Source organism: Homo sapiens, chromosome 1 (assembly GCF_000001405.40).
Source record: "Homo sapiens chromosome 1, GRCh38.p14 Primary Assembly".
NCBI lineage: Eukaryota > Metazoa > Chordata > Mammalia > Primates > Hominidae > Homo > Homo sapiens.
The window spans coordinates 166,767,570-166,792,767 of NC_000001.11; the positions used below are offsets into that span (position 1 = coordinate 166,767,570).

General features: G+C 39.0%; 1 pseudogene, besides 1 other annotated feature; it reads left to right on the forward strand.

Moving 5' to 3' along the window:
* Positions 1-25,198, forward strand: FMO11P (flavin containing dimethylaniline monoxygenase 11, pseudogene; annotated as a pseudogene).
* Positions 24,749-24,949: a silencer, noted in NCBI's record as "peak440 fragment used in MPRA reporter construct". NCBI's record gives its function as "represses an SCP1 promoter by STARR-seq MPRAs in K562 erythroleukemia cells {active_cell/tissue: K562}" and the evidence as "EXISTENCE:reporter gene assay evidence [ECO:0000049][PMID:32103011]".

A 25,198-nucleotide genomic window follows, 5' to 3' on the forward strand; every position in this document is an offset into this window, starting at 1 on the left:
CTTTATGCCCTGCAGGGGAATCCTGAAGGCTGAAAGCCAAGTGTGTACAAATCTGCCATCTGCAATGCCTCTAAGCAAATTAGAAACTATAATGACTATCCTGCTCCTGATCATTGTCCCAAATATTTGCATAATTCTAAAGTTATAAAGTATGTCAGGATGTATGCCAGGCATTTCAACCTTAAAAAATACATCAAATTTCTGATAAGAAAAGATCGGGTGTAGCATAATGACACTGTTCACTGAAGAGTCAGTAGAGTTCATGACTATCAAAGCAATGTTTTTTCTCACTGCAGGGATCACCACAATTTTCACACATTGTTGATATTGTTTAGTTTTACCGTGCGCCTCTTAGGAGAAAGGGCAGAATCATGCATTTAGAGCACTGTGGACATGGTTTTCAATTCGAGTTTCTTAGTTACACTTGGTTACACGTATAGAAGTCTAGGAGTTTAGTAAATCAGGTGCATTTGCTGTCCTATACAGTCATAACCACAGCCTATTTTCAGTAGAGCAGGCAGCACTAAAAGTCTCATGAGAAAATTCCTGAAGACTTTTAATAGAAAATTAGGCACTAGATCCTACCCCAGGTAAGAAGAATAAATCATCTGTTCTTCAAATTCTGGAAAAAAGATGGAAGTGTAAAAATAGTGGTCAAAGATTAAGGTTGTCTCTTTGTTCCCAGTTGAAGGTGTGTATTGTGAAAAAAGATTATGACTTATCTTTCACCAACCAGTAGTGGTAGAGACTGAGGGAGGCAGGAAGCCCTCAACTTTTTTTTTTTTTTTTGAGACAGAGTTTCGCTCTTATTGACCAGGCTGGAGTGCAATGGCACAATCTCGGCTTGCTGCAACCTCCGCCTCCCAGATTCAAGCAATTCTCCTGCCTCTGCCTCCCAAGTAGCTGGGATTACAGGCAGGCACCACCACTCATAGTATTTAATAGAGACAGGGCTTCACCATGTTGGTCAAGCTGGCTTCAAACTCCTGACCTTAAGTAATCCACCTGCTTCAGCCTCCCAAAGTGCTGGGATTACTGGCGTGAGCCACTGAGCCTGGCCTAGGAAGCCCTCATCTTTGATGCGGTTATGGTGTGCAGCAAGCAGTACACTGACTGCTTTTTGCTACTGCAGTTCTTCCAAAATAGGTCATCTGAAAGACTATTTCTGGAGATTCATGGTACATTATTCCTGAATGTACTCTAAGTGTATGTTTGTGGAAAGAAGTATCTTTTCTTCTTTTTCAACTGATTTGAAAGAAATGGTGTGATTAAAGCCATAGAAAACCTTCCTGTTTGAAGAATTTGCTTTAGTTGTAAAATTACAAAACCTAACTCATAGGGTAAACTGAAAAATAGGCCCCAGCACCCTAAGGTGATCAGGAATAGTAACCTTGAGCTTTGCTGTTTTTGACCATTAAATATAGTATTAGGAAGACAGATTTTCAAGGTAAAATTTGTTTTTCAAAGAAAGAAAGAGGATTTTTTCCTTTTTCTTTGCCTCGACTAGAACTTAGCCATGAGATTGCTAAGCCTTGGCCTTGACATGGTGATGCTATGCTTATACCTCCACATCCTACTGCTTGAGCTATGAGACATTTAACCAAATGTTTAAATAAAATGTACTTTTAGTTAAGGAAAAATTTTCCACAATGACTGTCAAAGGAGTCTTCAAGCATGGAAGGTAAGAGCATGGATGCCCCAGTCCCAGCTATCTGGGTTCAAACTGCTGGTCCACTCCTTACTAGCTGGGTAACCCTAAATAAGTTATAAAAATTTTCCACACAAGATTTCTCTCCTGCAATGTAAATAATTGTGTGCAAATCACAGTTAGTTGTTAAGATTAAATGAGTTACTCTAAGTAAGCCTGTACCTACTGTACCTATGACCTACCATACCTACAATATGTAAGCATTATTTATATTTGCTATTGTATGCTTTTATTTCAATTCCTATAGATTCCTGAATATGAGCAATTCTTCTCTCTTCACACAAGTATCAAAAAGTTCAGCAGTCTGTATTTCCAAGTTGTGACTAAAGAGCACCCAAATATTTTGTAGAGAAAATAATTGGGTTTCTTCAAGATGGCTGACTAGAAGCATCTCAATCATGCCTCATTCATTAGAAAACTCCAAAGAGTGTGTAGACAATCTCACTTTGAATATATTATTCAAAAGGGAACACGAAAGTTCAACAAAAAAAGTTACAAGACACACCTAAAACTAGAAAGGATAAAGAAAACAGACAGCCTGCTTGGCTGGAATCAGCTGGGAACCAGGAGTGATCCCCAGTATAAGAGAGGGTGGATGAGAGTCTTTCTGCAGTCCATTTTCACTGAACCATTTTCCACTGGATGAATCATACAATCCAGGCCATGGGAGACCACCATGACCTTCCCAAGATCTGAATCTAACTTAGAGAGCAGCCAAGAGACCGTGAGAAGAAATGGCTCCACAGAGGGAACTCTGAGTCCCACACTTTTTCTGTAACCTAAGCAGATACAGTAAGATGCCATTCTCAATCCTAGCTTAAAACAGACTGTGCACTGTCCTGGGAACCAATGGTGCCGGTCCTGGGAATTAAGGAAACTCAGGCTGCTGCTTGCAGAACTAGGGCATGAGCAGGAGGTAGGCTTCTGCTACCAGAACTGAGAAGTCAGTGTGGCATGGACTGCAGCTACCAGTGCTAGAAGCAAACACAGACTTCAGGTTTTGAGCAGGACAAGAATTGCAACAGAGGCTTGGTGTTGAGCCAGCTTGGGGTTCATATAGCTCTGGGCTGAGTTGCAGGCTAGGCACAAACTGCCAACACAGGTCTTATGCATCGGCTGTGACAGGCAGGACTGGGTAGCTAGCCCCTCTGGGACTGTGGTGTGAGAGAGGCATAAGTCCCCCAACCACTGGCCAAGCCTGCAGCCCTTAGAGCTAGCCTCCCTCCCCTTCATGGCAGGACCTCAGCACAGCAGGGACTGCACCTCACCCAAGCATTCTGCCAGGAGCTTGATGATCACCACACCCCTACCCATCATGGCCAGTGCATGCACTTGCCACTGGGAGACCTCAGTGCAAGCTTACTCAGTCCATCTCTGCCTGGCTTCGGCCCCCTCCCCTCTGACACAGAGTGTAGGATCCAGGGTCCTGGGGATTAGACAACCCAATCCACCACCTGAGACACCCTAGCACTCCTCCTGGGACACTGAGGTTGGGCATAAACACCCTACTACCACCTCCTCTGGCTCCTATCTGCAAACACCTCCTGCTGGCCTGAAGGCTGGCCTACACAACTCATTGTACCCACTGCCAACATAAGCACACAGCCCTTGGGAACCAGAAGAGCATCTCAACAGTGCTACTGCCATTGCCCATGCCAATCCATCTGCCCAAGGGCTCCAGAGGTAGCTCACCTGCCCAGTACATTGCTAAGCTGTCTATAGTCAAGAGAAAAAGTGAATTATAAAACAGCAAGAGAAAACATTCTCGTCATCTGTAAAGGAAACTCCATCAGACTAAAAGTGGACTTCTCAGCAGAGAAGCTACAGGCTAGAAGAGAATGGGATAATATTTTCAAGTGCTGAAAGAAAAAAAGTGGGCAGCCAAGAATTCTATATTCAGCAAGATTAACCTTCATAAATGAAGGAGAAATAAAGTATTTCACAGACAAGCAAATTCATCACGACTAGACAGGCTGTTGAAGAAATACTCAAGGGAGTCCTAAACTTGGAAGTGAAAGGATGACATTAACCTCATGAAAACACACAAAAGTAGAAAACTCACTGATAAAGCAATCACACAATGGAGGAAGACAAAGGAATCAAATGGCACCATCACAGAATTCCACCAAATAAAAACGACAATTGGAGAAAAAGAAAGAAACAGCTAGAAAACCATTAACCATATGACAGGAACAAAATCCCACATGTCAATATTAACCTTGGATATAAATAGATTAAATGCTCCACTTAAAAGATACAGATTGGCTGAATGTTTTTTTTTAAATGATCAACTATATGCTGCTTACAAGAAACTCACTTTACCTGTAAAGACACAGGCTGAAAGTAAAGGAGTGGAAAAGATATTCCATGCAAACAGAAACTAAAAGGAAGCAGGAGCACCTACATTTATATCAGATAAAACAGACTTTAAGTCAAAAACAGTAATTTTAAAAGAAGACAAAGGAGGTGATTATAGAATGATAAAGGGATCAATCCATCAAGAGTATAGAACAATTCTAAATTAAATGCACCCAACACTGGAGAACCCAGGTTCATAAAACAAATCTTACAAGACCTAAAGAGAGAGAGACAGAGCAATACAATAATAGTAGGGGACTTCAATACCCCACTCACAACATTAGGTGGGTCTTTTAGAGAGAAAATTGACAAAAACATTGAACTTAAATTGTAATTTAGACCAAATGAATTTAAGCATTTACAGAACTTTCTACTGAACAACTGCAGAATATACATACCTTTTGACAGTCAGTACATGAGGCATTCTCCAAGATAGACCACATTTGGCTACAAAATAAGTCTCAACAAATTTTTAAAAATCAAAAATGTATGAAATGTCTTCTAAGCCTACAGGGAAATAAAGCTGGAAATTAATACTAAGAGAAACTTTGGAAACTATATAGATGCATGAAAATTAAACAACATGCTGCTGAACAACCATTAGGTCAATGATGAAATTACCAAAACCTGTGAGATACTGCAAAAGCAGTGCTAACAGGAAAGTTCATAGCATTAAATGCTTACAATAAAAATGTAGAAATATTACAAATTAACAATTAACAATGTACTTCAAGGAACAAGAAGAGCAGGAGTCAACTAAATGTTAACTTAGTAGAAGAAAAGAAATAAAGATCAGAGCAGAATTAAATGGAGACTAAAAGCACAAAGCATAAATGAAATGAAAAAAATGGCTTTTGAAAAAGATAAACAAAATTGATAAGCCACTAGCTAGACTAACCAAGAAGAGAGAAGACCCAAATAAATAATATCAAAAATGAAAAATGACACAGTACAACTGATACCACAGAAATACAAAAGATCATCAGAGACTATTAAGAACAACTATATGTTAACAAACTGGAAAACCAAGAGGAAATGGATAAATTTCTGGAAACATACAACCTCCCAAGATTGAACCAGGAAGAAATAGAAAACCTGAACAGATCAATAACAAATAGTGAGATTCAATTAGTAATAATAAAAAAAAATACCAAGAAAGAAAAGCCCAGGGCCAGATGGATTCAAAGCCAAATTCTTCCAAACATACAAAGAAGAACTAATACCAATCATTGGGTAATTGTTCCACAAAACTGAGGAGAAGGGAATTCTCCCTTACTCATTCTATGATGCCATTATCTCCCTGATACTAAAACCAGACAAGGACAAAACAAAAAAGGAAAACCACAGGCCAATGTCTCTGATGAACATAGATGCAAAAATCCTCAACAAAATAGCCGCAAACTAAATTAAAAGCACATCAAAAAGATAATGTATCATGATCAAGTAGGTTTCATATCAGGAATGCAGAAACTAAAAGCGAGCAGGAGCACCTACGTTTATACCAGATAAAACAGACTTCAAGTCAAAAACAGTAATGAAAAAAAAGACAAAGAAGGTGATTATAGAATGATAAAGGGATCAATCTATCAAGAGTATGGAACAATTCTAAATTATATGCACCCAATATTGGAGAACCCAGATTCATAAAACAAATCTTATAAGACCTAAAGAGAGAGATAGCGAGCAACACAATAATAGTAGAGGACTTCAATACCCCACTCACATTAGGCAGGTCATTTAGACAGAAAATTAACAAAAACATTGAATTTAAACTGTAATTTAGACCAAATGAATTTAAGAGGCATTTACAAAACATTCTACTGAACAACTGCAGAATATGCATACTTTTCAACAATCAGTTCATGAGTCATTCTCCAAGATAGACCACATGTTTGGCTACAAAACAAGTCTCAGCAAATTTTTAAAAATCAATGCATGGATGGTTCAACATATGCAAGTCAATAAATGTGTTATATCACATAAACAATCAAGGACAATAAACCATATGATCTTCTCATAGATGCAGAAAAAACATTTGATAAAACTTAGCATCAAAATAGACATAGAAGAACCGCATCTCAAAATATATATGACAAACCCACAGTTAGCATCATACTGAATACAGAAAAGTTAAGCCTTTCCTCCAAGACTGGAACAAGACAAGGATGCCCACATTACACTTCTAGTCAACATTATACTGGAAGTTCTAGCCAGAGCAATTAGGCAAGAGAAGGAAATAAAAGGCATCCAAATTGGTAAAGAGGAAGTCAAATTATCCCTGTTTGCTGATGATGTGACTTTATATCTAGAGAAACCTAAGACTCCACCAAAAAGATTTGATCATGAATTAAAGTTGCAAGATACAAAATCAATGTACAAAAATTAGTAGTATTTCTATACACCAATAATTATCTATGTAAGAAAGAAATCAAAAAGACAATTCCATTTAAAATAACTACAAAAAAATACCCAATAGATTTTACCAAGAAGGTGAAAGAAAGATCTCTACAAAGAAAACTACAAAACACTGATGAAATAAATTGTGGATAACAAAAACAAATGGAAAAACATTCCATGCTTATAGATCAGAGGAATTAATATCATTAAAATGGCCATATTGCCCAAAGCAATTGACAGATTTAATGCAATCCCTATCAAAATATCAACATCATTTTTCACGGAACTAGAAAAAAAAAAACAATTCTTAAATTCGTGTGGAACCAAAAAGAGCACAAATAGCCAATGCAATCTTAAACAAAAAGAACAAAGCTGGAAGCATCATGTTACCTGACTTTAAATTCTATTACAAAGCTATAGTAACTGAAACAGCATGGTACTGGTATAAAAACGGATGCATACATCAATGGAACAGAATGAAGGACTCAGAAATAAAGCCACACATTTACAGCCAGCTGATCTTTGACAAGCCAACAAGAACATACTTTGGAGAAAGGCCAACTTTTTCAATAAAAGGTGCTCGAACAATTAGATTGCCATATGAAACAGTAAAAAACTGGGCCCCTATCTCTCACCATATACAAAATCAACTCAAGATGGATTAAAGACAGACATTGGAGAGACCAAGGCAAGAGGATCACTTGAGGCCAGGAGTTTGAGACCAGCCTGGGCGACATAGACCTGTTTCTAAAAAAAAAAAAAGCTAGCAAGGTGTGTTAGTGCATGCCTGTAGTCCTAGTTACTTGGGAGGCTGAGGTAAAGGGCCACTTGAGCCCAGGAATTCAAAGTTGCAGTGAGTTACGATCACCCCCACTGCACTCCAGCCTGGGTAACAGAGAGAGACACTATCTCAAGAAAACAAAGCAAAACAAAACAAAAACTCCAACTATGAAAAATATCAGAAAAAAATCCTAGGAAAAACTTTTCTGGACATTGGCCTAGGCAAAGAATTTAGGACTAAGACCTCAAAAGCATATGCAAAAAACGAAAATAGACAAATGAGATTTTATTAAACTGAAAAGCTTCTGCGCAGCAAAAGAAATAATCAACAGAGTAAAAAAACCAACCTGAGAATGGAAGAAAATATTCACAAACTATTGATCTGACAGGGAACTAATATCCACAATATACAAGGAACTCAACAACAGAAACAATTCCAAGTAAAAGTGGGTAAGGTATATGAGTAGACATTTTTAAAAGGAAGACAGACCAATGGCCAAGAAGTATATGAAAAATGTTCGACATCACTAATCATCATAGAAATGCAAATTAAAACCACAATGTAATATCACCTTGCTCCAATCAGAATGTCTATTATTAAAAATAAATAAACAACATGTTGGCAAGGATGCAGAGAAAAGAGGATGCTTATACACTATTGGTGGGAATGCAAATTAGTACCACCTATGAAAAAAGTGTGACAATTTCTCAAGGAACTAAAGATACAACAATTCAGTCCAGAAATCTCACTACTGGGTGTCTACCAAAAGGAAAAGAAATCAATGTACCAAAAACATATCTGCACTGGTTTGTTTATCACAGCACTGTTCACAATAGCAAAGACATGGAATCAACCTAAGTGTCCATCAACAGATGAATGCATAAAGAAAGTCGGGTATAGATGTACAATGGAATACTATTCAGCCATTAAAAAGAATGAAATCATGATTTTGCAGCAAAATGGATGAAACTGGAGGTCATTATTTTAAGTGAAACAAACCAAGCACAGAAAGTCAACTTTCACATGTTCTCACTCATAATTGGGTGCTGAAAACTGTGTAAAAATAGATGTAGAGATTGGAATGATAGACAATGCATACTTGGAAGGGTGAGGGCATGAAGGGGTGTATTTGTTGAGAAATTAGTTAATAATTAGTTAATAGGTACCATGTGCGTTAACTGAGTGATGAATACTGTAAAATCCCTGATGTGGCCACTACACAATCCATGCATGTAACAAAACTGCACATGTACCCCATAAATTTGTACAAATGTTTTTAAATAGAATTGTACTCAGCATTGGGAATTCCGGAGCAGATATTGCATGTGAACTGTACTACATTACTAAGCTGGTTTGGTACCCATGCCTCTTCCCCTAGACCATGAGCTGAGTACAATAAGGAACAATTTTTATTCACTTTTGCATTCATAACACCTGTTCAGGGTATGACCCAGAATATGTACTCTGAAATATTAATCATTAATTAATTTAAACATTCTGTTCCTAGATGCAAACAATCCTTCAATGTTTTACACAATTCACAGCTCACTTAGAGCCTAGACTTCTAGGCATTACTAAGGAATAGTGGCCTCATCCAACTAGGCCATTCATATTTAAATACTTCAAACCTATTTTATTAAAGATAATTAGCCTCCAATAAAGCCATTTACTTTGGTGCTTGGCGAGACATTAGGAAATGTAAATATTTTGCATACTTCTAAGTTGAGACTTCTGCAAAGAGAGACAGAGAAAAAAGAGAATTTTAAGCAAATTTCTAAAGTGTTAGAGAGGATGTAGGAGGTAAAAATGACAAAAACAGATAAAATAATCCATTACTCAATTAAACATTTCTGAGCTAGTAAAATACAGATCAGCAAAGTGAAATGATTGTTTTGTATTTTTTTCTCTTTTCCAGGTGTTCCTTAGCACAAGGTAGAGTGCATGGATATGGAACAGAATCTGAGATAAGAGGTCACCCACAGATATTGCTGTCTTCACTCACTTTAAGAGTAGTCTGACTTCCTTCCCATTTCTTGATCAACTACTTCTCAGAAAATTAAATTAAATGCCAAATTTAACTATGCTATTTATTCTGCAAACCACAGCATGGATATGGTGTAGGATTTAATTTAAACTTCACAATTGGGGTAGGTTAAACAACCAGACATAGAATGTAAATTTATTTTGGTAGGGGGAGACAGAGTTTCCCTCCGCTTCCCAGGCTGGAGCGCAACGGGGTAATCTCGGTTCACTGCAACCTCTGACTTCTGGGTTCAAATGATTCTTGTGCCTCAGCCTCCCGAGTATCTGGGATTACAGGCATAAGCCACCATGCCCAACTAATTTTTTTATTTTTAGTAGAGACAGGGTTTCGTCATGTTGGTCAGGCTAGTCTCGAACTCCTGGCCTTAAGTGATCTGCCCACCTCGGCCTCCCAAAGTGCTGGGATTACAGGCATGAGCCAAGTCACCTGGCCAGAATGCAAATTTTAAGCCTGATGGGTACCTTACAGAGTTCCAGTTTTAAAAGCATTACAAGAACCTTGATCAAATCAGTACTGTGTGGAGGAGATGTGCACCACCTCTTCTTATTTACCTCTGGGAGATGGTACTCAGTAAGCACAGGAGGGAGAAATTCAGTCCCTAAAATGTCACAGCATCTTCGATTGTTCCCACTTTATGTACATTGTACTACCTTTGTTCCCCCTTGGCTATTATTTATTTTTGGTTGTTGGCACAAAAGATGGACGCACACACAACTTTATATCTCCCATCATGATACTTATTACTATATTGTAACTCCGAGAGATAAACACCTCCGTAACCTCAACACCTATCATGCACTTAGCACTCAGTAAATTTTCACTTAACTAATTTGATATGGTTTGGCTCTGTGTCCCCACCCAAATCTCATCTCAAATCTGCAGGTGTCCAGGGAAGGACGTAGTGGGAGGCGATTGGATCATGTGGGCAGTTTCTGCCATGCTATTCTCACGACAGTGGGTGAGTTCTCATGAGATCTGATGGTTTAAAAGTGTTTGGTAGTTCCTTCCTCTCTCTCTCTCTCCTGCCACCATGTAAGACACGTCTTGCTTTCCCTTTGCCTTTTGCCAGATTGTAAGTTTCCTGAGGCCTTCCCAGCCATGTGGAACTGTGAGTCAATTAAACTTCTTTTCTTTATAAATTACCCAGTCTCAGGTGGTTCTCTATAGCAGTGTGAAAATGGACTAATACATAATTCATCAAGAAAAACTTACATAATTTGGCCAGGTGCAGTGACTTATGCCTGTAATCCCAGCCCTTTGGAAAACCAAGGGGAGAGAATCACTTGAGCTCAAGAGTTTGAGACCAGCCTGGGTAACATAGGGAGAAAATCTCTACAAAAAAATAAATTTAGAAAAATTAACCAGGCATGATTTGACATGCCTGTGGTCCCAGCTACTCAGGAAGCTGAGATGGGACAACCACTTGGGCCCGGGAGGCTGAGAGTGCAGTGAGCCACGATCGTGCCATTGCACTTCAGCCTGGGTGACAGAATAAGATCCTATCTCAAAAAGAAAAACTCATATAATTTAATGTAAATTCTTTCTTAATTAGTTAATATAAAGAAGGATAGCCATACACTCCCACAGACACTGTTGCAATCACACGAGTCTTAATATGATCATTTTTGTCCTCTCATTTTGTAATGTAATAGGTCTTTCTACTTGACTACATTAGTAACATTTACCTTTATACTGTCACTTTTTTGTTTTTTCTTTTTTTATTATTATTAAACTTTAAGTTCTGGGTTACATGTGCAGAACATGCAGAATTGTTACATAGGTATACACATGCCATGGTGGTTTGCTGCACCCATCAACCCGTCACCTACATTAGGTATTTCTCCTAATGTTTTCCCTCCGCTAACCCCCCACCCCCCACAGGCCCCAGTGTGTGATGTTCCCCTCCTTGTGTCCATGTGTTCTCATTGTTCAACCCCCACTTATAAGTGAGAACATGCAGTGTTTGGTTTTCTGATCTTGTGATAGTTTGCTGAGAATGATGGTTTCAAGCTTCGTCCATGTCCCCACAAAGGACATGAACTCATCCTTTTTTATGGCTGCATACTATTCCATGGTGTATATGTGCCACATTTTCTTAATCCAGTCTATCATTGATGGATATTTGGGTTGTTTCCAAGTCTTTGCTATTGTGAATAGTGCTGCAATAAACATATGTGTGCATGTATCTTTAGTGTAGAATGATTTATAATCCTTTGGGTATATGCCCAGTAATGGGATTGCTGGGTCAAATGGTATTTCTAGTTCTAGATCCTTGATCACCATACTGTCTTCCACAATGGTTGAACTAATTTACACTCCCACCAACAGTGTAAAAGTGTTCCTATTTTTCCACAACCTCTCCAGCATCTGTTGTTTCCTGACTTTTTAATGATCACCATTCTAACTGGCATGAGATGGTATCTCATTTGGTTTTGATTTGCATTTCTCTAATGACCAGTGATGATGAGCATTTTTTCATAAGTCTGTTGGCTGCATAAATGTCTTCTTTTGAGAAGTGTCTGTTCATATCCTTTGCCCATTTTTGATGGGGTTGTTTGCTTTTTTCTTGTAAATTTGTTTAAGTTCTTTGTAGATTCTGGATATTAGCCCTTTGTCAGATGGATGGATTGCAAAAATGTTCTCCCATTCTGTAGGTTGCCTGTTCACTCTGATGGTAGTTTCTTTTGCTGTGCAGAAGCTCTTTAGTTTAATTAGATCCCATTTGTCAATTATGGCTTTTGTTGCCGTTGCTTTTGGTGTTTTAGACATGAAGTCTTTGCCCATGCCTGTGTCCTGAATGGTATTGCTCAGGTTTTCTTCTAGGATTTTTATGGCTCTAGGTCTTACATTTAAGTCTTTGATCCATCTTGAGTTGATTTTTGTATAAGGTGTAAGGAAGGGGTCCAGTTTCAGTTTTCTGTATAAGGCTAGCCAATTTTCCCAACACCATTTATTAAATAGGGAATCTTTTCCCCACTGCTTGTGTGTGTCAGTTTTGTCAAAGATCAGATGGTGGTAGATGTGTGGTGTTATTTCTGAGGCCTCCGTTCTGTTCCATTGGTTTATATACCTGTTTTGGCACCAGTCCCATGCTGTTTTGGTTACTGTAGCCTTGTAGTAAAGTTTGAAGCCAGGTAGCGTGATGCCTCCAGCTTTGTTTTTCTTGCCCAGGATTGTCTTGGCTATGTGGGCTCTTTTTGGTTACATATGAAGTTTAAAGTAGTTTTTTTCCAATTCTGTGAAGAAAGGCAGTGGTAGCTTGATGGGGATAACATTGAATCTACAAGTTACTTCAGGCAGTAAGGCCATTTTCACGATATTGATTCTTCCTATCCATGAGCATGGAATGTTTTTTCATTTGTTTGTGTCCTCTCTTATTTCCTTGAGCGGTGGTTTGTAGTTCTCCTTGAAAAGGTCCTTCACATCCCTTGTAAGTTGGATTCCTAGGTATTTTATTCTCTTAGTAGCAATTGTAAATGGGAGCTCACTCACGATTTGGCTCTCTGTTTTTCTGTTATTGGTGTATAGGAATGCTTGTGATTTTTGCACATTGATTTTGAATCCTGAAACTTTGCTGAAGTTCTCAGGATCTCAGATCTCTTTGCTGATCTCCTTATCAGCTTAAGAAGATTTTGGGCTTAGATGATGGGGTTTTCTAAATATGCAATCATGTCATCTGCAAACAGAGAAAATTTGACTTCCTCTCTTCCTATTTGAACACACTTTATTGCTTTCTCTTGCTTGATTGCCCCGGCCAGAACTTCCAATACTATGTTGAATAGTAGTGATGAGAGAGGGCATTCTTGTCTTGTGCCGGTTTTCAGAGGGAATGCTTCCAGTTTTTGCCCATTCAGTATGATATTGGCTGTGGGTTTGTCATCAATAGCTCATATTATTTTGAGATACGTTCCACTGATACCTAGTTTATTGAGAGTTTTTAGCATGAAAGGCTGTTGAATTTTGTTGAAGGCCTTTTCTGCATCTATTGAGATAATCATGTGGTTTTTGTCGTTGGTTCTGTTTATGTGATGGATTACGTTTATTGATTTGCATATGTTGTACCAGCCTTGCATCCCAGGGATGAAGCCCACTTGATCACGGTGGATAAGCTTTTTGTTGTGATGCTGGAATCGGTGTGCCAGTATTTTACTGAGGATTTTCGCATTGATCTTCATCAGGGATATTGGCCTAAAATTCTTTTTTTTCTTTTTTTTCTTTTTTGTGTCTCTGCCAGGCTTTGGTATCAGGATGATGCTGGCCTCATAAAATGAGTTAGGGAGGATTCCCTCTTTTTCTATTGATTGGAATAGTTTCAGAAGGAATGGTACCAGCTCCTCTTTGTACTTCTGGTAGAATTCGGCTGTGAATCCATCTGGTCCTGGACTTTTTTTGGTTGGTAGGCTATTCATAATTGCCTCAATTTCAGAACCAGTTATTTGTCTATTCAGAGATTCAACATCTTCCTGGTTTAGTCTTGGGAGGGTGTATGTGTCCAGGAATTTATCCATTTCTTCTAGATTTTCTAGTTTATTTGTGTAGAGGTGTTTATAGTATTCTAATGGTAGTTTGTATTTCTGTGGGATTGGTGGCGATATCCCCTTTATCTTTTTTATTGTGTCTACTTCATTCTTCTCTCTTTTCTTCTTTGTTAGTCTTGCTAGCAGTGTATCTATTTTGTTGATCTTTTCAAAAAGCCAGCTCCTGGATTCATTGATTTTTTTGAAGTGTTTTTGTGTTTCTGTCTCCTTCAGTTCTGCTCTGATCTTAGTTATTTATTGTCTTCTACTAGCTTTTGAATTTCTTTGCTCTTGCTTCTCTAGTTCTTTTAATTGTGATGTCAGGGTGTCGATTTTAGATCTCTCCTGCTTTCTACTGTGGGCATTTAGTGCTATAAATTTCCCTCTACACACTGCTTTAAATGTGTCCCAGAGATTCTGGTATGTTGTGCCTTTGTTCTCATTGGTTTCAAAGAACATCTTTATTTCTGCCTTCATTTCATTATTTACCTAGTAGTCATTCAGGAGCAGGTTGTTCAGTTTCCATGCAGTTGTGTGGTTTGAGGAGATTCTTATTCCTGAGTTTTAATTTGATTGCACTATGGTCTGAGAGACAGTTTGTTGTGATTTCTGTTCTTTTACATTTGCTGAGGAGTGTTTTACTTCCAATTATATGGTCAATTTTACAATAAGTGCTATGTGGTGCTGCGAAGAATGTCTATTCTGTTGATTTGGGGTGGAAAGTTCTCTAGATGTCTATTAGGTCCACTTCGTCCAGAGCCGAGTTCAATTCCTTGATATCCTTGTTAATTTTCTGTCTCGTTTATCTGTCTAATATTGACAGTGGGATGCTAAAATCTCCCATTATTATTGTGTGGGAGTCTAAGTCTCTTGGTAGGTCTCTAAGAACTTGCTTTATGAATGTGGGTGCTCCTGTATTGGGTGCATATATATTTAGGATAGTTAGCTCTTCTTGTTGAATTGATCCCTTTACCATTATGTAATGACCTTCTTTGTCTCTTTTGATCTTTGTTGGTTTAAAGTCTGTTTTATCAGAGACCAGGATTGCAACCCCTGCTTTTTCTTGCTTTCCATTTACTTGGTAGATCTTCCTCCATCCCTTTATTTTGAGCCTATGTGTGTCTTTGCACATGAGATGGGTCTCCTGAATACAGCACACTGATGGGTCTTGACTCTTTTTTTTTTTTTTTTTTTTTTTTTTTTTTTTGAGACAGAGTCTCGCTCTGTCACCCAGGCTGGAGTGGAGTGCAGTGGCACAATCTTGGCTCAGTGCAAGCTCCACCTCCCGGGTTCACGCCATTCTCCTGCCTCAGCCTCCTGAGTAGCTGGGACTACAGGCGCCTGCCACCATGCCCGGCTAATTTTTTTTTGTATTTTTTTAGTAGAGACAGGGTTTCACCATGTTAGCCAGGATGGTCTCTATCTCCTGACCTTGTGATCTGCCCGCCTCAGCCTCCCAATGTGCTGGGATTACAGGCGTTAGCCACTGCGCCCCGCCTGGGTCTTGACTCTTTATCCAATTTGCCCGTCTGTGTCTTTTCAGTGGGGCATTTAGCCCGTTTACATTTAAGGTTAATATTGTTCTGTGTGCATTTTATCCTGTCATTATGATGCTAGCTGGTTATTTCACCCATTAATTGATGCAGTTTCTTCATAGCATTGATGGTCTTTACAATTTGGCATGTTTTTGCAGTGGCTGGTACCGATTGTTCCTATGCTTCCTATCTAGTTTGGTGCTTCCTTCAGGAGCTCTTGTTTTGTTTTTTGTTTTTGGTTTTGATTTTGCTTTTGTTTGTTTTTTGTTTTCTTTTCTTTTCTTTTCTTTTGAGATGGAATCTCACTCTGTCACCAAGGCTGGAGTGCAGTGGCATGATCTCGGCTCACTGCAACCTCTGCCTCTTGGGTTCAAGTGATTCTCCTGCCTCAGCCACCCAAGTGTCCTTCAGGAGCTCTTATAATGCAGGCATGGTGGTGACAAATATCTCTCAGCATTTGCTTGTCTATAAAGGATTTTATTTCTCCTTCACTTATGAAGCTTAGTTTGGCTGGATACGAAATTCTGGGTTGAAAATTATTTTCTTTAAGAATGTTGAATATTGGCCCCCACTCTCTTCTGGCTTGTAGGGTTTCTGCAGAGAGATCCACTGTTAGTCTGATGGGCTTCCCTTTGTGGGTAACCCGACCTTTCTCTCTTGCTGCCCTTAACATTTTTTCCTTCGTTTCAACCTTAGTGAATCTGACAATTATGTGTCTTAGGGAGTATCTTTGTGGTGTTCTCTGTATTTCCTGAATTTGAATGTTGGCCTGCCTTGCTAGGTTGGGGAGGTTCACCTGGATAATACCCTGAAGAGCATTTTCTTACTTGGTTCCATTCTCCCCATCACTTTCAGGTACACCAATCAAACATAGATTTGGACTTTTCACATAGTCCCATATTTCTTGGAAGCTTTGTTCGTTTCTTGTCACTCTTTTTTCTCCAATCTTGTCTTCTCACTTTATTTCATTAATTTGATTAATTTGATCTTCAATCACTTCTGCTTGATCGAATCAGCTATTGAAGCTTGTGTATGCTTCACAAAGTTCTTGTGCTGTGGTTTTCAGCTCCATCAGGTCATTTAAGCTCTTCTCTACACTGGTTATTCTAGTTAGCCATTCGTCTAACCTTTTTTCAAGGTTTTTAGCTTTCTTGCAATGGGTTAGAACATACTCCTTTAGCTCAGAGAAGTTTGTTTTACCAACCTTCCGAAGCCTACTTCTGTCAACTCATCAAACTCATTCTCCATCTAGTTTTGTTCCCTTGCTGGTGAGGAGTTGTGTTCCTTTGGAGGAGAAGAGACATTCTGGTTTTTGGAGTTTTCAGCCTTTCTGCTCTGGTTTCTCCCCATCTTTGTGGTTTTATCTACCTTTGGTCTTTGATGCTGGTGACCTACAGATGGAGTTTTGGTGTGGATGTCCTTTTTGTTGATGTTGATGCTATTCCTTTCTGTTTGTTAGTTTTCCTTCTAACAGACAAGCCCCTCAGCTGCAGGTCTGTTGGAGTTTGCTGGAGGTCCACTCCAGACCCTGTTTGCCTGGGAATCACTAGCAGAGGTTTTAGAACAGAAAATATTGTTGCCTGACCCTTCCTCTGGAAGCTTTGTCCCAGAGGGGCACCTGCCTGTATGAGGTGTCTGTCAGCTCCTACTGGGAGGTGTCACCCAGTCAAGTTACACGGGGGTCAGGGACCCACTTGAGGAGGCAGTCTGTCCGTTATCAGAGCTCAAATGCCATGCTGGGAGAACCACTGCTCTCTTCAGAGCAGTCAGGCAGGGACATTTAAGTCTGGAGAAGCTGTCTGCTGCCTTTTGTTCAAATATGCCCTGCCCCAAGACATGGAATCTATAGAGGCAGTAGGCCTTGCTGAGCTGCAGTGGGATCCACCCAGTTTGAGCTTCCCTGCTGCTTTGTTTACACTGTGAGCATAGAACCGCCTACTCAAGCCTCAGCAACGGCAGATGCCCCTTCCCCCACCAAGCTCCCGCATCCTAAGTCGATCTCAGACTGCTGCATTAGCAGTGAGCAAGGCTCTGTGGGTGTGGGACCCACCAAGCCAGGCACAGGAGGATATCTCCTGGTCTACCAGTTGTGAAGACAGTGGGAAAAGTGCAGTATTTGGGCAAGAGTGTACTGCTTCTCCAGGTACAGTCACTTATGGCTTCCCTTGGCTAGGAAAGGGAAATCCCCCAATGCCTTGCCCTTCCCAGGTGAGATAATGCCCTGCCCTGCTTCGGCTCACCCTCCGTGGGCTGCACCCACTGTCCAACCAGTCCCAGTGAGATGAACCAGGTACCTCAGTTGGAAATGCAGAAATCACCTCTCTTCTGCATCGATCTTGCTGGGAGCTGTAGACCAGAGCTGTTCTTATTTGGCCATCTTGGAAGCGACCCCCCTTTTTTTTGTATTTTCAAGACAAGGTCTCACTTCTGTTGTCTCACTCACATCTGTGCAGTGGCACAGTCATGGCTCACTGCAGCCTTGACATCCATGGGCTTAGGTCTTGACCTCCCACTTTAGCTTCCTGAGTAGCTGGGACTACAGGAATGCACCACCATACCTGGCTAATTTTTGGATTTTTTCTATAGAGACACGGTCTCACTATGTTGCCCAGGCTGGTCTTGAACTCCTGGGCTTAAGTCATCCACCCACCTCAGCCTCCCAAAGTGCTAGGATTACAGGTGTGAATCACTGTGCCTGGCCCAAAGTCACTTTTAATTGCTAGATATCAATATTTCTCAGAGAACAAACTCACCCAAAGCTGGTTAATCCTTTGGAATTTCCCACTGTCCACAACAGGTTACCACAAACACTGGAAGGATAGACTGATGCAAATCTATGTATTCTATTAAAATATTTTAACCCAAAGTTCCCTGTGGAGGAATATAATTTGATGCATTGTTATTCTTCCCAGAGACATTTACTTAGCTCCTTTCTAAATAAAATTTACATTCACTCCCTAGAATCTCACTTTGTCTTACAGATTTCTCACCCATCAGGTTACTGTTAGTGATGATCTGCCCAACCACATAATTTCTAGAAGAGTGCCGGTAAAACTGAATGTGAAGGAGTTCACCTGGACATAGACCATCTTTGCGGATGGCACTGAAGAGAACATTAATGTTATTATCTTCACCACAGACTACACCTTGTCTTTTCTTTTCTTGGAGGATGGCTCAGCAATCCTGGACAGCCAGTGCTCCATGCTGAATTTTGTGTTCCCTCCTAGCTGGAGAAGGCAACACTTGTTTTCACTGGCTTACTGCAGCCAGGAGGAGGCACTATTCCCATTTTAAAACTTCAGAACCAATGGGCTGTACCTGTATTTAAAAGTATGTCTTGCCCTACTCAATATCATAGCAGAGTGGACTTCTGACCACATGGTATAATTTGAGAGGCACCCAGATAAACCAGAATGCAATATATATTCCTGTCAGTCCAGATTCAATATCTGAAATGCAACAAACCCCATTTTTCTTGGGTTTTAAAGACTTATCAGTCTTCACTAGCCCCTCAGTAAAATACAATCCCTCTATAAGAGCTTATATGTTAAATCATTTTCAGATTGGTGGAGCTTATTATCCGATACTTTCCAGATATAGCCACTGGTAAAAGTTAAACACTGTGGGAATAGACACAAGGTAAGTCTGTAAGTAGTGAAGGGAGACTTCCACCACAAAGAAAGTTGAGGGACTAATGGAATAATTGAAAATATCTTTTTAAAATTTTTATTTTAAGTTTGGGGGTACATGTAAACATGTAAAGTTTTGTTAGATAGATAAACACCTATCACAGGGGTTTGTTGTACATATCTTTACCTCACCCAGGTATTAAGTCCTGTACCAAATAGTTATCTTTTCTGCTCCTCTCCCTCCTCCCACCCTCCCCGCTCAAGTAGACCCCAGTATCTACTGTTCCCTTCTTTGTGTTCATACGTTCTTATCATTTAGCTCCCACTTGTAAGTGAGAATATGTGGTATTTGGTTTTCTATTCCTGTGTTAGTTTGCTAAGGATGATAGCCTCCAGCTCCATTCATGTTCCCTCAAAAGACACGATCTTGTTCTTTTTTATGGCTGCATAATATTCCACAGTGTATAGGTACCACATTTTCTTTATCCAATCTGCCATTGATGGGCATTTAGGTTGATTACATGTCTTTACTGTTGTGAACAGTGCTGCAATGAACATACACATACATGTGTCTTTATGGTAGAATGCTTTATATTCCTCTGGGTATATACCTAGTAATGGGATTGCTGGGTTAAATGGTAGTTCTGCTTTTAGCTCTTTGAGGAATCACTGTACTACTTTCCACACTGGTTGAACTAATTTACACTCCCATCAACAGTGTATAAGCTTTTCCCTTTCTCCACCATCTTGCCAGCATCTATTGTTTTTTGACTTTTTATTAATAGCCATTCTGAGTGGTGTCAAATGGTATCTCATTGTGGTTTTGACTTGCATTTCTCTAATGAGCAGTGATATTGAGCTTTTTTTCATATGCTTGTTGGCTGCATATGTCTTCTTTTGAGAAGTGTCTGTTCATACCCTTTGCCCACTTTTTAATGGGATTGTTTGTTTTTCTCTTGTAAATTTGTTTAAGTTCTTGTAAATGTGTTTAAGTTCCTTATAGAGGCTGGATATTAGACTTTCTCAGATGCATAGTTTGCAAATATTTTCTCCCATACTGTAGGTTGTCTGTTTACTCTGTTGATAGTTTATTTTGCTGTACAGAAGCTCTTATGTTTAATTAGATCTGATTTGTCAATTTTTGCTTTTGTTGCAATTGCTTTTGGAGTCTTTGTGATGAAATCTTTGCCTGTTCCTATGTCCAGGATGGTATTGCCTAGGTTGTCTTCCAGTGTTTTTATAGTTTTGGGTTTTACATTTGAGTCTTTAATTCATCTTGAGTTGATTTTTGTACATGGTGTAAGGAAGGGGTCCAGATTCATTCTTCTGTATATGGCTAGCCAGTTATCACAGCACCATTTATTAAATAGGAAGTGTTTTCCCCATTGCTTGTTTTTGTCAGCTTTGTCAAAGATCAGATGGTTGTAGGTGCCTTAATTCTGGGCTCTCTATTCTGTTCCGTTGGTCTATATGCCTGTTTTTGTACCAGTACCATGCTGTTATGGTCACTGGAGCCTTGTAACATAGTTTGAAGTTGGGTAACATGATTCCTCCAGGTTTGTTCTTTCTGCTTAGGATTGCCTTGGTTATTCGGGCTCTTTTTTGGTTCCATCATTGGTAGTTTGATAAGAATAGCATTGAATCTGTAAATTTCTCTGGGCAGTACAGCCATTTTCATTATGCTGATTCTTCCTATCCATGAGCATGGGATGTTTTTCCATTTGTTTGTGTCTTCTCTGATTTATTTGTGCAATGTTTTGTAATTTTCATTGTGGAGATCTTTCACCTCCCTGGTTAGCTGTATTTCTCATAATTAAAAATTCTTTCAGCCCAGGTACAGTGGCTTGCACCTATTATCTGAGAGCTTTGTGAGGCCAAAGTAGGAGGATTGCTTGAACCAAGGAGTTCCAGAACAGCCTGGGCAGCATAGCAACATCCCATCTCTACAAAATTTTGAAAATTAGCTAGATGTGGTGCTATGCACCTGTGATCTCTGCTACTTCTAAGGCTGGTGGAGTGTATTGCTTGGGCCCAAGAATTTGAGGTTACAATGAGCTATGATTGTGCCACTGCACTCCAGCCTGGGCAACAGTAAGACCCTCATCTCTAAAATAATAATAATTATTATTATTCTAGTAAACAGTTTGGACAAAAGTAAAAATTCTCATCTCTCAACCCTTTTCTCAATCCCACATTCAAATACAATCCCATTGAAATTAAAATCTGATCATATGAAAGGGTCGAAATGAAGTTATACAAAGTTGACTGTTATTTCTTAGACCTAGAATAATTCTAGAAAAAATTCCCATATTATTCTTCCAATTCTATATAATTACAACTTATAACTACAGACATGCTTGGCTAACTGGTCAAGCATAAATTCACACAAGTATGTATTATGTAGGTGTTTTTAGAATGAGTTCTTGAGCTGTGATTTTTTTATCCTGTATTAGGAATGACAGTAGAAAAGTTGTAGAGTAAGAGGTATGTTGGAAGATGACAAAAAATAACTGGGTGACAGGTCAGATAAACTTTTTTGGAGATAACAGAACCATCTGAAAAAAATGTCAAACTATAATGAATTAAATGCCTGCTGTATACATAGCATTATATATACACTATAATTAAGTATTTATTTAAAAGAGTCAAATTTTAATATGGGAACTTGCCATGAAAAGAAACACACAGTGCATATTTTTGAAAAGTAAGGAATCCATTTGTAAAATGAACACTTTCCATAAGAGGAAAATGATGATGATATCTATTATTTTCCATAAGAGGAAAGGATGATAATATCTATTTCACACACTGTGAGAATTAAATAGATAGCTTATGTAAATTTAGCACTTGCCACAGCGTCTGGCTAGAATCAACCTCTAGCCTTATGTCCTGCTACTCACTTGTCTAAACTTGTGCTTCAAATTACATTGTCTCTAGAAAACTTTGCACGACAAGATTGGGTTTGTAAGATTGGGCTCTCCAACATCCTTATTGCCTAACTTCTGGGAGTTGCTTGTTGGGAGAGTAGAGCCAGACTTTATGTGTTGGCAGGGCTCCACCTCAGAGAGCAAAGGCCATCTTGGAAGCGACCCCCACTTTTTTTGTATTTTCAAGACAAGGTCTCACTTCTGTTGTCTCACTCACATCTGTGCAGTGGCACAGTCATGGCTCACTGCAGCCTTGACATCCATGGGCTCAGGTCTTGACCTCCCACTTTAGCTTCCTGAGTAGCTGGGACTACAGGAATGCACCACCATGCCTGGCTAATTTTTGGATTTTTTCTATAGAGACACGGTCTCACTATGTTGCCCAGGCTGGTCTTGAACTCCTGGGCTCAAGTCATCCACCCACCTCAGCCTCCCAAAGTGCTAGGATTACAGGTGTGAATCACTGTGCCTGGCCCAAATACTATATTAACATATTGTATTTGCCCAGTGTGTGCAGTGAACTGTGTTAAGCACAAAAAATAATAATAAAATAAAATAAAATAAATCCTTCTTGCCCTAAAGTCAAGTTGGGAACAACAGGCAAGCAACCAATTAAAATGAACAATGATAAAGACAGGCATCTGATAGAGGTTTGCAGTCACTATGGAAGATGGAAGGATCAAAGAGGCAACCCTCATTCCCTCTGACTTGGAGGAAAGGGAGAGGTATAGAGTGTCACAGAAAGTTTTCCAGACACAAGGTCGCTTGAAGGACAAGTGTAGATGAGCAAGCAGTAGGATATAAGGCTAGAGGTTGATCCCAACTAGACCTCTTTGTGCATATTGGTGTGCATTGTTTTAGAATATTTTTGAAAATCTCAAAAATCCAGAGAACTGTTTGTGCTCACATATTGTTATGTTCACCTACTGGCTTCAGGGGATTCACATGTTCAAAATAACCTTCTGAAGTCTAAGTGGCAAGTGCTAAATTTACATAAGTTATCTAATTAAATTCTCACAGTGTGTAAAATAGATATTATCCTCATTTTATAGATAAGGAAACAAAGTGTCAGAGGTTAACTTCTCCAAGGTTGCATAACTAGTGAAAGATGAAGATCACACAAGTCCAACATCCTTAGTTCTGTTTGGCATCTCTTAAATTGCTCTTTCCAACAATGCTGTTCTTTCCACCATACACCATCCACTATAACTCCTCCTCTTTTTTTGCCATTTCCTTCTTTTTTATCAGAAGAATTGTTGGATTAGAATATTTTCCATTATTGTATGTACCATTAAAAAAAACTGATATTGAGGGATCGCACATTTATTTCCAAGACTTAAGAAGGTTATTTTGAACATGTGAATCCCCGGAAGCCAGTAGGAGAACATAACAAAAATATGTGAGCACAAAAAGATCTCTGGATTTTTGAGATGTTCAAAAGATTCTAAAACAATGCACACCAATACAAACAAAAAGCCTCTGGTTAAATGCTTAGCATCACAAGACATAAGATTTTGAAAAATTGAGAATAAATCCAAATAATCTGTTTCATATTTTTTAAAAAGATAATTTTTATTTCATGGCTCTGACAAAGAGCAGAAGTCTAAAAAACTCTCCTACTACTCATTTGTCTAAACTTGTCCTTCAAGTGACCGTGTCTCTAGGAAACGTTCCATGACAAGATTGGTAAATAGGAAAGTTTCCACACACAGATGTTACCTGTAATGCACGTCAGTTTCTTCCTAAACTTATTTTGTGATTTGACTCTTTAAGAATCATCTCCAAATTCTAGATTTTCTTTCCCAGAACTGAACAAATTACTGTCAGTGCATGACATACAAGCTGACATCAAACAGAACAGGATCAACTGGAGAAAACAGTAAGAAATTTAACCACAATGAAACCAGATCAATTTCTTCAAGTGATAATACTACATGCCCTTATATTTTGTCATTGAAAAATCAGAGCATAACCAAGATTTCAAAAGAGAGTGGCTGTTTACACTTAATGTCATCCATAATTACAGCCATTTATAGATTGCCAGTGGCAATACATAGATGAGAGATGCCTATAACCTCAGTTCTCCAGTGACTGTGTAAAGAAGCAAAACAAAAAGGGTGACAAAATGTGTGCTTGGTGCTTGCCTGGTTACCAACAAGTTCTAGTCTTATAAATGAGGTGCCTTAGGAAACCAATGAAGTAATAAAGGATCAATGTATTCCTTTGAAGGGCCAAACTCAAGCAAAATAATATAAATAATTAGTAAAAAAAATTATTCATAAAAATTTAAGTGAGTTGAGAAACTTCCAGGTAGATTAATCTTAGTGGAAAATTTTTCTCAAAGATCAAAATTAAGAACAAGTGTAGAACTGAGATTCTTCACACATATCAAATTATCTCTACTCTGAAAACCCAAATTCTAGGAACATATGATAACTCTGATTGAAGGGAAAAAAATTATATATTTCAAAGGCATTTTGAAACAAGCTAATTATACTCTTGTGCTGAGCTATGTACAATATAGAAGTCGGATTTCTATCACAAAAGCTGTATTTTTCTTAATTCATGTATTAACACTTAATGACCAAAGTGGCTTAATATCATACGTTAACAACCAGCTTTGGGAAAAAAAATTAAATGACCAAAAATATATACACTAGAAAAGGAGAATACTCATTAAAAAGCCAAAACTTCACACAACACACCTATGACTATCTAACAATTTCAGCAATTACTGAAGAATAGAAGGTGTGCTTGTAAACCAATACATGAGACTAAACACGAAGCTATTTGTGGCATATAAAAGGCCACAAATAGGCATGAAAAGCAGACTTAATTCAGGTAAGCTTTTCCATCTACCACATTCCATGTGGTGTAAGGAAGGGAAATAGTACCTGAAGATGAGGATAGTGAACAGAATCTGGCATGAGGTTTGCAATTGTTTCTTCTGATTCTAGATTCTTGAGAAGGCCATGAGTTGCTCATAGAGTGCCATATGTGAAGTACATGGATGAAATTGCCTCTGCAATAGGAGTGAAGCCCAACCTGTTCTCTCTTTTCTTTTCAGATCCCAAGCTGGACAAAGAGGTTGTCTTTGGTTCATGCTCCCCATATCAGTACTGTTTGCAGGGACCAGGAAAATGGGATGGAGCCAGGAAAGCCATCCTGAAGTAGGGCAGTGGATTGTCAAACCCACGAGAATTTACATCTTCAGTAGTGGCCAAGCCCCTTCCTCTATGTCATTTTGGCTTAAAAGTGTCTGTGCTGCTCTTCTTCTCTTTGTTTTTTTCCTTATTACTTTT